This window comes from Homo sapiens, chromosome 3 (assembly GCF_000001405.40).
Source record: "Homo sapiens chromosome 3, GRCh38.p14 Primary Assembly".
NCBI lineage: Eukaryota > Metazoa > Chordata > Mammalia > Primates > Hominidae > Homo > Homo sapiens.
This window is the reverse complement of record NC_000003.12, coordinates 56,649,986-56,668,158: the sequence shown is the minus strand read 5'-3', so window position 1 is coordinate 56,668,158 and position 18,173 is coordinate 56,649,986. Positions and strand designations below refer to the sequence as shown.

The window sequence follows — 18,173 nt, the reverse complement described above, 5'->3', positions numbered from 1 at the left end:
GCTCTTCCTGCCAGTAGACTGTGACCTGGTTTTTATATGATCATTGCCCTCAACACACCTCATTTCATTTTGAAACCTTGGCATTTCCTGGCCTAGAAAGATCTCTTGCCTAATAAGATACTACTCATCTTTCAAGGTAAAGTTGAAACCCCTTGAAATAATCTTAATGCATAACATTTTATACTATTGATTTGATAGGTATTTTCTATCTTTATTAACATTTTTAAAGATGCAAACCTAGAACTATTTTTTAAGCCTTATTCAAGTATAATTGACATATACTACACCTATATAAGAGTAACATTTGATGAGCTTTAGTGTTAAGTTTTTATATGAGGTTTGACTATAAAGCAATGGTTTTTTGTTTTTGTGTTTGTCTTTTTAAATAGAGATGGGGGTCTCCCTGTTTTGCCCAGGCTGGTCTAGAACTCCTGGGCTCAAGTGATCTTCCCACTTCGGCCTCCCTATTCTTGTTTTTTAATTATTAGTATTTTGTTGTTTTGAGACGGAGTCTCGCTCTGTTGTCCAGTCTGGAGTGTGGTGGTGTGATCTTGGCTCACTGCAACCTCTGCCCCCCAGGTTCAAATGATTCTCCTGCCTCAGCCTCCCAAGTAGCTGGGATTATAGGCACCTGCCACCTCACCTAGCTAATTTTTTGTATTTTTTTTAGTAGAGATGGGGTTTCACCATGTTGGCCAGGCTGGTCTCAAACTCCTGACCTCAGGTGATCCTGTCTGCCTCAGCCTCCCAAAGTGTTGGGATTACAACTGTGAGCCACCACACCCGGCACCTGTTCTTTTTAACATTAAAAAAAATGTCTATAACCAAATAGACTGCTTGTGAAAAGTAGTAATGTTAACTTCCCTGGAAATGTTCTTTCTTTAATTTTTGCTTTATTTATGTAAAATAAAATTTTAAGAACTATTGTTGTGGGCTTTTAGCAAAAATTATATTCACCAAAGTCATTTGGGACTGACTCATTTGATTACCCTCTGGACAGTAGCAATATTGGTAGGTGTGAAGTATACATGTAAGATAGTTATTGGCTTTTCTAGAAGGACTTGCAAACTGGCCTTACGTTTTTTAAAAACTCCAGCCATTTTTAGAGCAATAACAACATTATTGAAATCAATAGTTTCCCAGGGGAATGGACTTTGAAGAACTGTACTACTTTGTTCATAAACTCAGGCATTCTTAAAGTGAAAATCACTACTCTGAAAGTTACAAAACTGTACTATACTGAATGTGGTGAAGAGGTGAAGGGGAAAGACTGATGGGTAATGGGAAGAGGGAAGGCTATCTTTGTCACCTATGTTCAGATTCTTTTCCGTATCTCCCTTTGCTACTTTGTTTGCAATTGGAGCCCAGGTGTGTTTTTCTTTTGAAATAGCAAAACCATAGTTTGGTTTAGTTGAGATTGTGTTCTTAGTATTTTGCTTTTTGTATTAGATTGGCTATTCTGAGCTGACCTGGGAGCTTAGGCTCTGTTTATAATATTTTTATTAGGAAACTCCCGGTGGTCAACTCTTCAGAAGTAAACTTTTGGAATAGTTAGTAATACTCTGGGATCTTACGCACTTAGATGCAGAATATTTTATATCACAAAATGAATACAAAGTACTAATTATTTTAGTTAAATTGGCACGCAGAGCTTAAAGACATTTTTTGTCAGAAGTGCATATATGGTTTTCTATTTCTCAGAAATCAGGCAGTTAAATATAAGGTTTCACCTTGCCTTTTTAAAGAAGTTAATTTTTCATTTTCTTATTTTTAGTATTATTTTTATGAGTATGGCTTTGATGAGCTAAGGCGAAGACCAAGACACGTTTGTCCATATGCAGTTGTGTCTTTTACTTACAAAGATGATATACAAACTCCGAAGTTTGTACCTTCATCAAGGTAAGACTTAGGAGTTTTAGACATCATCCGCAGTGATAATTCTACTACAGATCCTGTACTACTGAGTTAGGAGGACCATTTTGTTTCCTTCCCATTTTTTTTTTTTTAACTTCCCTTGAAGTTGGTTGGAGACTGAAGTGTTTACAATGACTTTTAAATGGTCGGTGTGAAGAACAGACAGTTTACCATGTGGAAATAAATACAAGCTAAAATTTAAACCTCATCTCGCTAATCTCTTCCTTAGAAATGAAGGTTTGTGTAGTTGAGTAAGTGGCAGGTTTTGTTTGTTTTGAGATGGAGTCTCTCTCTGTCCCCCAGGCTGGAGTGCATTGGCAGGATCTCGGCTCACTGCAAGCTCCGCCTCCCGGGTTCACGCCATTCTGCCTCAGCCTCCCGAGTAGCTGGGACTACAGGCACATACCACCATGCCTGGCTAATTTTTTTGTATTTTTAGTAGAGACGGGGTTTCACTGTGTTACCCAGGATGGTCTTGATCTCCTGACCTCGGGATCTTACTGCCTCGACCTCCCAAAGTGCTGGGATTACAGGCGTCAGCCACCGCACCTGGCCAGTAAGTGGCAGTTTTAAAAAGTGAGATTTTGGCCAGGCGCAGTGGCTCATGCCTGTAATTCCAGCACTTTGGGAGGACGAGGTGGGTGGATCACCTGAGGTCAGGAGTTCAAGAACAGCCTGGCCAACATGGTGAAACTGTGTCTCTACTAAAACTACAAAAAAATTAGCTGGATGTGGTGGTACGTGCCTGTAGTCCTAGCTACTTGGGAGGCTGAAGCAAGAGAATCGCTTGAACCTGGGCGGTGGAGGTTGGCAGTGAGCTGTGATCGCACCACTGCACTACAGCCTGGGTGACAGAGCAAGACTTCGTCTGTATTTAAACAACAACAACAACAAAAAAGTGAGATTTTGTGTATTAGCACCCTTGGAAATGGGGAGCTTCTACAAAGGATGCTCATGCCTCACCACAAACCAATCAAATATTTAGTGGGCAGTCAAGGCATTGATAGTTTTTAAAAGCTTCCAGGTGATTCTGATTTTCAGCCAGTGTTGAGGACCCTCTGTTTCTTTTTTTTTCCTCTTTAGAGACAAAGTCTTGCTCTGTTGCCCAGGCTGTAGTGAGTAAAGCGGTGCAGTCATAGCTTGCTGCAGCCTCAAACCCCTGTGTGCAAGCGATCCTCCCAAGTAGCTGGGACTACAGGCATGCACCATCATGTCTGGTTTATTTTTAGTTTTCATGGAAATGGGTCTTGCTGTGTTGGCCAGGCTGGTCTCAAACTCCTGGCCTCAAGCAGTTCTCCTGCCTTGGTATTCCAGAGCACTAGGATTATAGGCATGAGCTGCCACACTTGGCCTGATGATTTCTTTCCTTTTTTTTGGTTTTCTGTTCTTGTGTTACTGAGTATTTCTTAAAAGCTCTAGTATAAGGTGACCAAATAGGAAGCAGTTACCATTTTTTTTCCCCATGTGTTGATTCTAAAAATGCTTTAGCCAAATGGAATAAGTATATTTATAGGGATGTAGGTGAGATGGTCAAATGTCTGCTCATTTTTTACTTTGGGTGTGTATACATATTTGAAGTCATGTATGATATCTATTAATTTAGAAATACTGCTGTTCTAAAACCATATATCATGAAACATATATGTACATTTTTGAGGTTGACCTCTTTGTCAGTTTTCCAGATCAAATTATCTTCTCTTCCATTTACGGTCCTTTTATGTAGGTGAATAATCCTTGGAAACCATCTATAGCCACAGGTACCAATTGACATAGTATCCAGACAGTTGTGGCTTTCATTTTTTGTGGCTCTAAATTTATGATCACTGTGATACATACTTTCACTACAGTGTTTTCATAAGTACTCTTTAAAAGACATCCAGCACTTAAAATTATGAGGTCATGCCCCCAGGAATAATGACTGTTAATTTCTTTGCCTCCTCTTTGATTCCATCTCTTGACCTCTATATCATTTCAAAGGAGCATTGAGTGAACATCCATCCTTGTACCTTGAATATTCCATGAATGCTCCTGCTTCAGGGCCTCTGCATTTGCTGTTCTCTCACTTTCCCCAGTAAGCTGCATAATTCATTCTACATTTCTTCACGTATTTCCTTATGATTGAGGTTTCTCTGTTTTTTTTTTTTACCTCTATACTCTTATGTCTCTTTTTATAGCACTGAAAACCATCATGATCTGTTATATATCATTGTTTTCTGTCTTCCTCATTAGATTTATGTAGGTTGGAACTTTGTTCTGTTTATCTCTATAATCCTATTACCTAGAACTGTGCCTGGTAAATAAGAGCTTAGTATGTATTTACTGAATGATGAATTAATATATTTATATATTGAGGCTGTGTCTTCTAATGTCAGCAAAATAATTGACAAGAGACTTTGGTGGACACTGTTCTCTCTTGGTTAATATTTTTGGAAAAAACAACTCCCTTAAATTTGGGTAAATGTGGTAATTTGAGCGAAGTAAGTACTTCTGTTTTCTCTAAGTAGACTTGGATTTACTAGACTTTGTAATGAGTAATTTCTTTGTTCTTCCTACCTGGAGGAAGGACTTAACTGTAGTATGCCATTAAAAATTGCACTTATATCATCTTACATGTTAATTTTTATGATTATACTAATGAGTAATGTTTTTCTTTTCTTTTAAAAAATTTGTAGATCTAACAGCTTTAATACAGATAGAAACATAGGTAAGAGATTTATGTTTCTTTAGTTTTATAAATGGAAAGAATAAGTACATATAGCAAAAGATTAAGTGCTTTGTATTATTTTTATAATGAATGAAAATCTGCAAAGTATGAAAAGTTATAATGTAGCATCAGCGCATTTGGTTGTCCAAGCATAAGATCTCCTTTGAAAATCTGCTACTGTGAATAGACTGAAAGGTTTTAGCACTTTAATAGAAAAAGATAAAAAATAAAACAGGTTTCATAACTCAGCTTTTTAAAAGTATTAAATTCACCAGAGGTGTAGGACTTAGAATTAGAGAAGATTGAAAGTAGCATTGACATTAAACTATTTTAAAGTTTCTTTGTTTTTTTTTCTTTTCTGAGACAGAGTCTTACTCTCGCCCAGGCTGGGGTGCAGTGGCGTGATCTCGGCTCACTGCAACCTCTGCCTCCTGGGTTCCAGCGATTCTCCAGCCTCAGCCTTCTCCTGAGTAGCTAGGATTACAGGCGCCCACCACCACACCCGGCTAATTTTTTGTATTTTTAGTAGAGTTGGGGTTTCACCAAGTTGGCCAGGCTGGTCTCGAACTCCTAACCTTAAGTGATCCACCCGCCTCGGCCTCCCAAAGTGCTGGGGTTACAGGTGTGAGCCACCATGCCCAGCCTATTTTAAAGTTTCTTTATAATGAAAACACAATGAGTAGAAGATACAGGACACTGTAGGCATTCATATAATCAACCAGATTTCATACAGTGTCCCTTTGGAGGAAATAAGAGATGAATAATTATCTTGTCTTTGCTCCCCAACTTTTCTGATAATGACATTTAGACAGATACATTTGTTATTCTTTGCAACTGGAATGATTTTGTAGGGGATAAATACCTGAAACAAAAATCCTAATATTTGAACTGTTAGTAAATAGAAGTGTAGAAGAGTCACTGTTTTTTTTTTTTTGCCCTCCTACTTAAACCTTGTTTCTAGATATTTTCCGTCTCATTTCTAATAAATGTGCACTCACTTCTCTGGGCTGCCAAGTGACTAAGCTGTGTCATTATATTCTTTTTATTTAGATAAATATAACTATACCTTGTGGAAAGGACAGCTTTTAAATAAAGGAAAACTTTTGTGTTATATTTCTCTGAGGTCAGCCACTCGTGCTTTTTTGCCTATCAAACTGTAAGTATAAGTAAAGAGCAGTTCGTGGTTGCTAATTTTATCACTTTCTTGAGCCTTTTTCCTTATTTCTTTTTCATATTTAAATTTTATTTTGGTTCATAAGAACTTCAATATAAATGTTGGTTTGTTTTTTAAATGGTTGATTTGAAATTACGTGATTTGGCAATATGAGTCCTCTACGTCTCTGTCTTGATTTGAGGATAGGCTAGTCAGTACATTTACGGTATAAAACTTTATCTTTTTTTTTTTTTTTTGAGACGGAGTTTCGCTCTTGTCACTCAGTCTAGAGTGCAGTGGTGCAATCTCGGCTCGCTGCAACCTTCGCCTCCCGGGTTCAAGCGATTCTCCCATCTCAGCCTCCTGAGTAGCTGGGATTACAGGGTCCTGCCACCATACCCAGCTAATTTTTTTTTGTATTTTTAGTAGAGACGGGGCTTTTGCCATGTCAGTCAGTCTGGTCTCGAACTCCTGACCTCATATGATCCTCCCGCCTTGGCCTCACGAAGTGTTGGGATTACAGGCGTGAGCTACCACGCCCAGCCTAAAACTTTTTCTTAGTGATTTAAGTCTGAAATATAATTTTTTAGTTTTATTCTAAGTAGATATATTTTTTTATGTAGCATTTTGAATATAGTAGACTTAAAAGTTACCAGTTCTTTGTTGGGAAGAGCTTTGATTTGGTGAGTTAAAATATATAGGCTGTTTTTAGTCCTATGCAGCATATGTTGGTATAGAAAGGTCTAAAATCTCTTGCTTCCATCATTGTGGGCCTTTATAAACATGTGAAGATTAACAGTTTATACTTCAGTTGTCCTTAATAAAATGACAGCCTTTTAGTTTCTGGCTTAAGGATGGAAGGTTGGAAATATTGCCTGGCTAGCTATCTACCCATGTATATATCTGGACTTCCAGTATCAAATCCCCTTTACTGCTGGGCACAGTGGCTCACTCATGTAATCCCAACACTTTGGGAGGCTGAGGTGGGAGGATCACTTGAGACCGGGAATTTGAGACCAGCCTGAGCAACGTAAGGAGACCTTGTCTCTACAAAAAGACCCAAAAAAACCAAAATTACCCTAGCGTGGTGGCACATGCCTGTAGTCCCAGCTGCCCTGGAGGTTGAGGTGGGAGAATCACTTGATCCTAGGAGGTTGAAGCTGCAGTGAGCTGTGATCGCACCACTGCACTCTAGCCTAGGTGACAGAGTGAGACTGTCACAAACGAAACAAAAGATCTTTAGAATAAGGTGAGATATTCGTAGATATGCTCTTCTATTTTCCATCAAGTGTACTTTTTTGTGTATGTGTTAAGATTGCTAGAGTTGAAAATACAGATAAGGCAAACATGTTTTTAAAATTTTCTTTCAGACCTGAGAAATTAGATGTTGAAACAGTTATGAGTATTGATCATCTGAAACAGAAAATCCCTCCAGCACTGTTTTATAAGGAAACATACTTAGGTCCAAATGAAGGTAAGGTAATTTAATTTTATTGAAATGCATTAGAAGCAGACTTGATTTGGATATTTACTATGTATTTTTCTTATGTCAGTTTTGAAGAATGGAATGTATTGCAGCCTTTATGAAGTTGTGGAAAAGACAAGAATTGGAAGTAACATGGAGAGTTTACTGCAAAAACTAGACAGAGAAAAACTTGTGAGTGAAAAGTTTTTTAATGTTTCTCATTCTTTGTTACAAATATGCATATTCATGTGTGATCATATTAGTGTTTCAGTTTATTTTTGCCTCTGAAAGTACCATGAGGTGTCTGTCTGTTGCTGCTGTTTAGTTAACAGTGTTTTACTGTGGTTCTGGTATTCTTTTATTTGGGCCATGGTATTGGAGCTTGTGCAAACCAGTCTTTCCCATGGAATATCTTTTTTTTTTTTTTTTTTTTGAGACGGAGTCTTGCTGTCTCACCAGGATGGAGTACAGTGGCGTGATCTTGGCTCACTGTAATCTCCGCCTTCCTGGGTTCAAGCAATTCTCCTGCCTCAGCCTCCTGAGTAGCTGGGATTACATGTGCACACCACCACAGCCAGCTGATTTTTGTATTTTTAGTAGAGACGGGGTTTCACCGTGTTGTCCAGGATGGTCTCAATCTCCTGACCTCGTGATCTGCCCGCCTCAGCCTCCCAAAGTGCTGGAATTAGAGGCGTGAGCCACCGTGCCCAGCCCCCATGGAATATCTTTATTATACTTTGTGATTAAGAATGTGATTATCAGGCCGGGCGTTGGTGGCTCACGCCTGTAATCCCAGCACTTTAGGAGGCCAAGGCAGGCAGATCATAAGATCAGGAGATCGGGACCATCCTGACCAACATGGAGAAACCCTGTCTCTACTAAAAATATAAAATTAGCTTGGTGTGGTGTAATCTCAGCTACTGGGGAGGCTGAGGCAGGAGAATCGCTTGAACCCAGGAGGAAGAGGTTGTGGTGAGCCAAGATCGTACCATTGCGCTCCAGCCTGAGTGACAAAAGCGAGACTCCATCTCAAAAAAAAAAGAAAAAAGAAAATCCAAGAACAATAAACTCAGTGAGGTTGAGGAGATAAAGGAACACTAGAGTAGTTGGGGGAAAGTAGTAGGGACCTGTGTCATACAGCGTCATTCAGGCAGTGTTCAAGTGTTTGGAAATTTGGATTTGATCCTAAGAGCAGCAGATTTTGAAGGATTTTCAAGGGTGTGCATTGAAACTTTGAAAGTGTATGCAACATAAGATCTGTGTTTTGAATAATTACGTTAGTTACTCGAGAATAAATTGAGGGGAGATGAGGTAGAAACTATTACATTAGAGGGTGATGGCGGGTGGGATGACAAGGTAATGATACAAGAAGAGACAGATTTATGGGATATTTCTGAGGTAAGGTCCAATTTAATACTGAAGCATATCTAGTTTGGGTAGAGGGATTGGGTCAAACATCAGATTGTGGTGGGTTGAGAAGTGAATGGAAAATGAATGTGATGCCAGTATATGTGGTTTAGCTGAAGGCGAGGAGGTGGTTGGAGAGAAGGGAAGTGGCTGTTCCAAGGTTTCTTTTTGTCTTGCTAAATGGTGGTCGTAAGTTCCAAGAAAGAGGGATACAACTTTTTTGCATAGGTGCGCCATTTAATACAAGTTTTACAACAGTTGACTTTTTACTTCTCACTTTGTTGAGCCTCAGTTTCCAGGTAGTCGAATGGCAGTCAAATATCTTTGAGTTTCAGAACGTGCAACTTCATGTTTAATGGCTACATAGAATTTAATTATTTTCATATATATGTGCTTAATCAGTCTGTTGTTTATAGATGGGATAGTCAGATTGACATAAAACTTCCAGGCAGAGTTATAAAACCCTTGCGAGTCTTTGACTTACAGGCTAGAAACCTTTCAATTAAATGTCCTAGAATTAAAACACACACGCGTGCACACACACACACACACACACACACACACACACAGTCTCTCTCTCACTCTCTGTCTCTCTCTCTTTTTTTTTTGAGACAGACTCTCTCGCCCAGGCTGGAGCGCAGTGGCACAGTCTCAGCTCACTGCAACCTCCGGGTTCAACCTTCCGGGTTCAAGCGATTCTCCTGCCTCAGCTTCTCGAGTAGCTGGGATTAGAGGCATGTGCCACGACACCCAGCTAATTTTTGTATTTTTAGTAGAGACGGGGTTTTATCATGTTGCCCAGGCTGGTCTCAAACTCCTGACCTCAAGTGATCCACCCGCCTCGGCCTCCCAAAGTGTTGGGTGAGCCACCGCGCCTGGCCCTTCCTTCTTACTTTCTCACTGCATATGAACATAATTTTATGTTTGTATTACATGGCTTGTTTTCTTCTGAAAGCCTGACTACAATGCAAGCATTCCTCATCATCAAAATCTATTCAGTTCCCAAGTTCAGAAAGTGAAAGTTGAGATAGTAGGTTTGGATATGGAGAGATACTGAGTTACACAAATCTATTTGGTTCTTGTGTTTCAGAGAGTGAGTATTGAGAATTCGGACAATGAGGGGTTTATCAGAAAATTACAATATCTTTCGGTTACTGATATGAGGATCAGGATAGGAAAGATGGCATTTCGTTCCTCACCTGACCAAGTATTACATTATGTTAATGGAAGACTGGATCTTTTCCAGAATCAAGAAGTAAAGTAAAATCCTAGATCTTAAAGGTTGCTAGCATTCTACAAGGATACACTCCCAGAATCTAATGTACCTAGGAATTTTGTGTAGCTATCCGTTTTCCAGCAGGCCTCACTGGGATTATTCCGTCTATAGCTACTTTATTCATAGTTTTCTTGATAATGAGCAGTGCATTGAGGAATACTGATTTTTAAATTTTGTCCAAGAAATGCACACAAGGTTTTCTGAATCAGAGACAGATTTTGTGAATACCCCACAGTAAGTAAAAATGTATTGGCCCTCCTTTGCCTTAGTCCTTAACTCCCTAGGGCATGCAGGCCTAAGCCACTTGTCCTGAGTAGCTGCATACTACATAGGTAAAAGATGGGGACAAATACTTTCTATTTGCTTATAAAAGGGAAGAGGCAGCTATTCCCTGCTATCCTGAATGTGTCTCTTTGAAATGTTATGAATATTAACTCCAACTCTTTGGTATATAAATAAAATCGCTTCAGGAGCCATTTGTTTAGCCCTCTTGGACCAAGAGACATTTCCAAATTCCTGGAAACTCATTCTGTATTGAAATGTAAATGCTTAGGGAGATCTCCATAGTCTTCTTGGCACCTCTGGACTTAACCTAGGAACCTCTCTTTGCTGTAATCTCTTAATCTACCCCACTTGATGCTCTCAGGGAGATAAAATAAGTTTTATTATTGTGGAGCAGAGCAATTAACTAGATAAATGACTACAGATCTAAATCTTAAGGTATGCGAAGAGTAAAATATTTGTGGGGGATATGAAAGCAAACATTCCCTTATCTTTATATCATATACATTTTTGTATATTAGAAGGCTAGGACTTTTTGCAGTGGCACGTAGAAATCCAGGGAAGTTTTCTTTTCACCCAGGGAGATGATACACGAAATAAGATTATATTGACTTTTTTTTTTTTTTTTTTCGAGACAGAGCCTTGCTCTGTTGCTGGGCTGGAGTGCAGTGGCGTGATCTCGGCTCACTGCAATCTCTGCCTCCTGAGTTCAAGTGATTCCCTTGCCTCAGTCTCCGGAGTAGCTGGGATTACAGGCGCCTGCCACCATGCTCGGCTAATTTTTGTATTCTTAGTAGAGATGGGGTTTCACCATGTAGGCCAGGCTGGTCTTGAACTCTTGACCTCATGATCTGCCTGCCTTGGCCTCTGAAAGTGCTGAGATTACAGGCGTGAGCCACCGTGCCTGGCCATCTCGCCCTTTCTTTAGTGTATTCTTTTTTTTTTTTTTGACGGTGTTTCGCTCTTGTTGCCCAGGTTGGAGTGCAATGGTGCAATCTCGGCTCACCGCAACCTCCTCCTCCTGGGTTCAAGCAGTTCTCCTGCATCAGCCTCCAGAGTAGCTGGGATTACAGGCATGCTCCACCATGCCTGGTTAATTGTGTATTTTTAGTAGAGATGGGACTTCCTCCATGTTGGTCAGGCTGGTCTCGAACTCCTGACCTCATCATCTGCCTGCCTCGACCTCCCAAAGTGCTGGGATTACAGGTGTGAGCCACTGCGCCCAGCCTAGTGTATTCTTTTAATAGAGTTTTAGAATTTTCTGGATACTAGTCTTGCTCATTTTTTGTTAGATTTATCCCCAGCTGTCTTACATTTTTTGATGCTTTTGTAAATAGTATTTTCTTTCTTTTTTTGGGGGGGGGCGGGGGACAGAGTCTCGCTCTGTCACCCAGGCTGGAATGCAGTGGTGTGATCTCAGCTCACTGCAACCTCCGCCTCCCAGGTTCAAGGAATTCTCCTGCCTCAGCCTCCTGAGTAGCTGGGACTACAGGCGTGCAACACCATACCTGGCTAATTTTTTTTGTATTTTTTGTAGAGATGGGGTTTTGCCATGTTGGCCAGGCTGGTCTTGAACTCTTGACCTCAAGTGATCTGCCTGCCTCAACCTCCCAAAGTGCTGGGATTACAGGTGTGAACCGCCATGCCTGGCCCGTGAATAGTATTTTCCATGTTAGTACATTTTCTGTTTCTTGTATATATAGAAATGTAATTGATACTTACATATTGATTTAATGCAGATCAATGTGAAATTTGAATGAAGTGTTTATTTTTGTACATTTTTGGGGGTTTCTATATAGAATTCATTATCTGGAAGGTAGATTGGTTTTATTTTTTTCTTCTCATCTTTATAGTAGTCCCCTGTTATCCTTGGTTTTGCTTTCTGTAGTTTCAGTTACCTGTGGTCAGCTGTTGTCTGAAAATACTAAATGGAAAGCTCCAGAAATAATTAATAAGTTTTAAATTAGTTTTCAGTAGTAGCCTAATGCTGCATCACAATGTCTATGTCATCAGCCTCACTTCCATCTCATCACATAGGCATTTCATCATCTCACGTCATCATAAGAAGGGTGAGTACATTACAATAAGATTTTGAGAGAGAGAGAGACCACATTACATAACCCTTATTATTATATATTGTTGCAGTTACTCTATTTTTTTGGTGGGAGGACAGGATTTCATTCTGTTGCCCAGGCTGGAGTACAGTGGTGTGATGTGATCATAGCTACTGCAGCCTTGAACTACTTGTCTTTTAAGTGATTCTCCCACCTCAGCCTCCTGGGTAGCTGGGCTGCAGGTGTATACCACCATGCCCAGCTAGTTTTTAAAATTTATCTATTTTTTAAAATTTTTAATAGAGAATAGGGTCTTACTGTGTTGCCCAGGCTTGTCTCAAACTCCTGGCCTTAAGCAACCCTCATGCCTCCACCTCCCAAAGTGCTGGTATTATAGGCATGAACCACCATGCCCAGCCTGTTCTATTTTATTATTAATTATTGTCGTTAGTCTCTTAGTATGCCTAATTTAAAAGTTAAACTTTATTATAGGTATGTATACATAAGAAAAAACATAGGGTTTGTTACTATCTGTGATTTCAGACATTCACTGGGGGTCTTGTAATATATCTTCTGCAGATAAAAGGGAACTACTATATACTACTTCTTTTTCCATGTTAATGTGCAGTCTAGGATCTGTACTAAGAAGTTGAATAAAAATGGTGATTTTGGGCATTCTTGCCTTCTTGATTTAAAGAAAAAAAAGCCTTATAACATTTTACCATTAAGTAGGAAGTCCACAGTAGTTTTTTATGTTTTAAACTTTGCTTCTTTATTTTTTTAACCATGAATGGATTTTGAATTTTAGCAGATGGTTTTTGTTTTGGGTCAGGGGTTGCATTTATCAATCTGGTCACACAGTATTTTTGGGTTCTGCAGAGAAACAGAACCAATAGTTTATGGTGGGGGTGGTATGTAAAAAGAGATTTATTGTAAAGAATTGGCTCACACATTTATGGAGGCTGACATGTCCCAAGATCATATCTGCAGTTAACAAGCTGGAGACCCAGGAGAGCCAATGGTACAGTTTCAGTCTGAGTATGCAGGTGCAAGAACCAGGACTGCCAGTGGTATAGTTCTAAGGCTGGCAGGCTCAAGACTCAGGAAGAGCCAATGTTTCAGTTCAAGTCTGAAGGCAGGGAACAGTTGACATCCCAACTTGGAAGACAGACAGGAGGAATTCTTTTGTTGTGGGGGTTAGGGTTTGCCTTTCATTCTCTTTAGGCCTTCAGCTGATTGGATATGGCCAACCTGCATTAGGGAGGTTGGCTTGCTTTACTCAGTCTGTTGGTTGTAAACTCATCCGAAAATAGCTTGACAGGAACACCCAGAAAAATATTTGATCAAATACCTGGGCACTCCCTGGCCAAATCTAGTTGACCTAAAAAATTAACCATCACACATGGTATTTATTCTGTAGACCTACTAAGGTGAGTTATATTTATAGTTTTCCAATATTAAACTACCCCTGCATTGCTTGTATAGAAACTACCACCCCCCAACCCCGCCCACCCCTGCCACAGCTTTTAAAGTAAATTGTGGGGTTTGGCTTTTGTTTAGGAATTTTGTATCTGTGATGATGAATGAGATTGACCTGAAATTTTCCTTTCTTATACCATCTCTGCCTTTTTTTTTTGAGACAGAGTTTCGCTCTTGTCTCCCAGGCCAGAGTGCAGTGGCACAATCTCAGCTCACTGCAACCTCTGCCTCCCGGGTTCAAGGGATTCTCCTGCCTCAGCCTCCCAAGTAGCTGGGATTACAGGCATGCTCCATGACACCTGGCTAATTTTTGTATTTTTAGTAGAGACAGGGTTTCATCATGTTGCCCAGATTGGTCTCAAACTCCTGGGCTCAAGTGATCTGCCTGCCTCGGCCTCCCGTAGTGCTGGGATTACCAGGGTGAGTCACCAAGCCTGGCCAACTTTTACTTTTTTGAGACTTGTTTTGCTATTTCTGTCTTTAAGTCAGAAAAATAGTCAATAAATACTCAGTTGTAAGTAGTGCTTTAGTTGCATTTCACGTTTTAATGTGCAGTATTTTCATTATTCATTTCTAAGAAATTTTTATTTTTTAGTTTCCAATTTTTTTTTAACTTTGATATATGATGTAGAGGTATGTGTATAGGGAAACAGGGATACTTTTGTCTTTTTTATTTCTAATTTAATTGCATTGTAATCAACAATGGTGGTGATTATTTGAAATTTGTTGAGACTAAGATCTACTGTGTGGTCAATTTTTGTACATGCTCCTTCTGTGTTTGAGAAAAATGTATAATCTATAATCATTGGGTGCTGGGTACACAATTCTGGGTTGACAGCTATTTTCTTGCACTTTGACTATGCTGCAGTGTCTTATGGCTTCTATTTTTGTTTAGGGGTTAGCTCTCAGTCTAATTGTTCCTTTGTAGGTCCCCTGCCGCCCCCTGGCTACTTTTTAAATCTTTTTTTTTTTTGGTCTTTGATGTTTAGCAGTTACAGTATCTAGGTGTAGATTTCTATTTATCCAGCTTGGTATATCTTTTCCTTTCATATCTGTGGATTTGTGTCTTTTTTTCTGGAAAATTAGTTATCTCTTTTATTGTACTTCTCCCTCATTTTCTTTAGCTTGTCTTTTCTTTTTTTTTTTTTTTTTTTTTTTTTTTGAGATGGAGTCTCACTCTGTTGCCCAGGCTGGTGTGCAGTGGCATGATCTTGGCTGACTGCAACCTCCACCTCCCGGGTTCAAGCAGTTCTCCTGTTTCAGCCTCCCGAGTAGCTGGGGTTGTAGGTGTGTGCCACCACACCTGGCTAATTTTCGTGTATTTAGTAGAGACAGGGTTTCGCCATGTTGGCCAGTGGTTGTGAACTCCTGACCTCAGGTGATCCACTGGCCTCGGCCTCCCAAAGTGCTGGGATTACAGGCGTGAGCCACTGCGCCCGGCCTGGCCTGTCTTTTTAGGACTCTGAAGAGGCATATTTTCCACGTCTGTTAACCTTGTCTATGTTTTCCATCTATTTGTTTCTCTGTGCTGCATTCTAAGTAACTTCATCATAACTATCTTCTAGTTTAAAAATCCTGTATTTAGCTGTGTCTTATTTGTTGCTTTATTTATTTATTGTGTTTTTAATTTCACAGGGAATGTTTTTTATTTTTAAAAGTTACATTTGAATTTTTTTGGATCTGCCTGGTTATTTTATAGCAGGTTCTTGTTAAGTCTTTCAGAAGTATTTAGTGAGTACCTATCATACGCCAGGCAGAGTTCTAGGAGGTGCACATTATATTCCGGTATTCTTTGCCTATATTTTTTAAGTGAAATAAAATTCACATAACATAAAATTAACCATTTTAGCCATTTTTTTTTTTTTTTTAAATAGGCAGGGTCTTGCTTTGTCATCCAGGCTGGAGTGCAGTGGTGTGATCCTGGCTCACTGCACCCTCGACTTTCTGGGGTCCAGTGATCCTCTTACCTCATCCTCCTGGGTAGCTGGGGCTACAGGTGCGTACCACCACACCTGCCTGATTTTTGTATGTTTTGTAGAGACAGGGTTTTGCCATATTGCCTGGGCTGTTCTTGAACTTGGCCTCCCAGAGTGCTGGGATTACAGGTGTGCACCACCGTGCCCAGCCATTTTAGCCATTTTAAAGTATATAATTCTATGTTTTTTTTAAAAGTAGATTCACACTGTTGTGCAACATCAACACTATCTAATTCCCGAACATTTTCATCTCAGAATTCACTGTACATTCCCCCTTCCTAATCCCTAACAGCCATTAATCTACTTCTGTCTCTATGGATTTATCTGCTCTGAACATTTTATATAAATAGAGTCAAGAATATGTGGCGTTCGGTGCCTGGCTTCTTTCACTAAGCATAATTTTCAAGGCTCATTGATGTTGTAGCATATATCAGAACTTCATTCTGTTTTATGGCCCAGTATGCTTTCATTGTGTAGATAATACCACATTTTGTTTGTTCTTTTATCAGTTATTTCTATTTCTTGGCTACTATGAATAATGGTGCTATGAACATTAGCGTAAACATTTTTGCTTGAAAATGTTTTTAATTCTTCCAATTATTTTATGTCTTTAAAGATTTCATAGTGGATTATTTTCCTTTTTGCATCTGATAATTCCAATTTTTGATGCCTTTGAGTGTTTGAATCTTTTTTTTTCTGCTGAATCTCACTTTAGTGTAGCTTATTTCCTTCTAAGCTTTTTTTTTTTGAGACAGGACTCTCTGTTGCCTAGGCTGAGGTGCTATAGTGCGTGGCACAATCACAGCTTCACAGCTTGAACTCTCAGGATCAGGCAATTCTCCCACCTTAGCTTTCCAAGTAGCCAGGACTATAGGCATATGACGCCACACATGACAACTTTTAAAATTTTTTTTGTAGAGTTGGGGTCTTGCTGTGTTGCCAAGGTTGGTCTTCAACTCCTGGCTTCAAGCAATCCTCCTCCCACTTCGACTTCCCAAAGTGCTGAGATTACAGGCATGAGCCACTGCGCCTGGCCCATTGTACATGTATTTATACTAACTCTTTTTTTGTGGGGGTGGGGGAGTGCTATAATACCTTTAATGTTATCTGGAAATTTAAAATAGTAGAATAAACTAATTTAAAAACCCCAGAGATTGGATTAATATCTTTTTTTTTTTTTAAGAATAACCAAACAGCTAAAATAGAGACAACAGGAGCACAATTTGCAGGATTTTTCTTTTCTGCAGAGTTGAATGGATTTCATTGGGCTGAAGCCACAGATATAACTGCTGAAGCCTCTGTCAGCCTTAGTGTTGTTTCTGATCATAGATTGCTTGTACTCCATGGATTTCTGGAAACATTGGGCCCCCTTAAAATACAGGAATCTTTAGGTTACTGGTAGTGGAATTTATAAAACCTAGTATTTGGAGTGAGTGAGAGGTTAAAGGCATCTAATTGGTTTTCGTCAGTGAGCACAAAACATGAAAATCTTGTGCTTCGTAACTTTTTATTTCATCAACTAGGAGTTTGAACAAAATATTAAAAGAAGTATATTATCTAAAATACTTTGGATAAAAGTATTTGAAACAAAATTTTCAGGTACATTGTCCGCTTGTAGTATACTCTAAGAGACTTAGCGTGGCTATAAATGGTAGCCGTAAGACCCAGTTAAATATCTTGCAGGGCCAATACTATATGTCAGCAGTATGATGTAACTTGGCCTGAGGATTTTTAACCTTGGCCCTGGGATTTTTAGGAAACAAGGCCACCTCAGCACAGATTAACTATTAGAAACCTTACAACAAAGTTTACCCTTACAAGAATATTTGAACTTCCTTTATAAAAGAAAGACCTGATAACTGACCCTCATGGAATCCAGGCAGTAAAAATGGGGAAAGATTCCCCAAAGTTTAGAATGGTCTTCAGATGGACCTAGTCATTTGGTCATCTGACCCCATGACTTTATCTGTCCCATACCACCAGCCTGCTTCCACTAAAATAACCTCCTTGAGTACCAGGTATCTAAGACTCATTTTTGGCACAGATTGAACTGAAGGAGAAGTTGACCCTGGAGAAAGTGGTCAACTAAGCTACCTGAAACCCCCAAACACAATACCACTTTACTTTTGAGTGTGCAAACAATGTTTTTATTAAATGTGAATTAGTAGCACAGTTACTTTTTGTCCTCTGAATTATTAGTTTTTATACAGGCGTTGTTTACTGGAATTGTTTTAGTAGGAATTTAGGTAGTACGAGTTTTCTTTCAGAGCTCAGATATCCTTTTGTGTTCAGTTGCCATGCTCAGTTTCTCATTTACCCAAAACATTGTGAACTATTGCAGTAGCCCCTGAAATAAATTCTTTGCATTAGATTGTTTTTCTGCGTCCTGCACTGTGCTGTCAAGTCTTCTTTCTTACTGTTGTTTTAAGGAAACAGTAGCTCAAAGGGATATGCTCTCAAGGA

The 18,173-nt window shown here is 39.4% G+C and overlaps 1 protein-coding gene across 9 annotated transcripts in view; it reads left to right on the top strand.

The window, feature by feature from the left end:
• Window positions 1-18,173, top strand: part of TASOR (transcription activation suppressor) — a 63,134-nt gene that overhangs the window by 15,107 nt on the left and 29,854 nt on the right. For 6 of the 9 annotated variants that reach the window (NM_001365638.2, NM_001365636.2, NM_001365637.2 and 3 more), the window contains exons 7-11: window positions 1,775-1,899; window positions 4,587-4,618; window positions 5,669-5,774; window positions 7,142-7,245; window positions 7,325-7,428. In NM_001365638.2, the coding sequence (NP_001352567.1) occupies window positions 1,775-1,899; window positions 4,587-4,618; window positions 5,669-5,774; window positions 7,142-7,245; window positions 7,325-7,428 (471 nt within the window). Of the gene's footprint in view, window positions 1-1,774; window positions 1,900-4,112; window positions 4,619-5,668; window positions 5,775-7,141; window positions 7,246-7,324; window positions 7,429-18,173 lie in introns of those variants that run through there. The other 3 variants (XM_047447814.1, XM_047447815.1, NM_015224.3) reach the window with 3 other exon arrangements.